The following is a 1,192-nucleotide window of genomic DNA, read 5'->3' as shown; positions in this document are numbered from 1 at the left end:
TGGGTTTGGCACCACAGGGTGGATAGGCAAAACAATTTGGTTGCTAAGGCGCAGATGTTGAACTAACCTGTAAGCCTTGTCTGGTTTTAGAACAGGTGAAATGGGGACATCGTAAAGGGAGTTTATAGGTTTTAGAAGGCCATGCTATAGCAGGCGAGTGATAACAGGCTTTCATCCTTTCAAAGCATGCTGTGGGATGGGATATTGGCATTGAGTGGGGTAAAGGTGATTAGGTTTTAATGAGATGGTAAGGGGTGCATGATCGATCGCCAAGGAGGGAGTAGAGGTATTTTATACTTGTGGGTTAAGGTGGGGGAATACAAGAGGAGGACGCAAAGGAGGCTTTGGATTGGGAAGAAGGGCAGCAATGAGATGCAGCTGTAATCCAGGAATAGTCAGGGAAGCAGATAATTTAGTTAAAGTGTCTCAGCCTAATAAGGGAACTGGGCAGGTGGGGATAACTAAAAAGGAGTGCTTAAAAGAGTATTGTCTAAGTTAGCACCGGAGTTGGGGAGTTTTAAGAGGTTTAGAAGCCTGGCCGTCAATACCCACAGCAGTTATGGAGGCAAGGGAAACAGGCCGTTTAAAATAAGGTAATGTGGAGTGAGTAGCCTCGGTATTGATTAAGACGGGGACAGACTTACCCTCCACTGTGAGAGTTACCCAAAGCTCGGCGTCCGTGATGGTCTAGGGGGCTTCTGAGGCGATTGGGCAGCGTCAGTCTTCAGCCGCTAAGCCAAGACGATCTGGGAAGGAGTCAGTCAGAGAGCCTTGGGCCGGAGTTCCAGGGGCTCTAGAAGTGGCTGCCAGGTGAGTTGAACAGTCCAATTTTCAGTGGGGTCCCACACAGATGGGTCACGGCTTAGGAGGAATCCTGGGCTGCGGGCATTCCTTGGCCCAGTGGTCAGATTTCTGGCACTTGCAGCAAGCTCCTGGGGGAGGAGGTTCTGGAGGAATGCCTGGCCACTGCGGTTCAGGCGTTTGGAAGTTCTTATGTGCTGGAGATGTGGCTGGGGTTTGTCTCATAGTGGAGGCAAGAAATTGCAACTTTTTTCTATTATTGTAACCTTGAAGGTGAGGTTAATTAAATCCTGTTGTGGGGTTTGAGGGCCAGAATTTAATTTTTGGAGTTTCATTTAATGTCAGGAGCAGATTGGATAATAAAATGTATTTTAAGAATAAGACGGCCTTT

General features: G+C 47.9%; 1 annotated feature.

Annotated features, from left to right (window-relative positions):
* Positions 302-815: an enhancer, noted in NCBI's record as "H3K27ac-H3K4me1 hESC enhancer chr7:93025621-93026134 (GRCh37/hg19 assembly coordinates)". NCBI's record gives its function as "activates a minimal SCP1, AML or CMV promoter by ChIP-STARR-seq in naive H9 embryonic stem cells {active_cell/tissue: H9 hESC(naive)}" and the evidence as "EXISTENCE:reporter gene assay evidence [ECO:0000049][PMID:30033119]".

The sequence above is a fragment of the Homo sapiens genome, chromosome 7 (genome assembly GCF_000001405.40).
Source record: "Homo sapiens chromosome 7, GRCh38.p14 Primary Assembly".
Taxonomy (NCBI): Eukaryota; Metazoa; Chordata; class Mammalia; order Primates; family Hominidae; genus Homo; species Homo sapiens.
The sequence above is the reverse complement of the archived record's forward strand: the minus strand, read 5'-3'. Positions and strand labels throughout refer to the sequence as shown.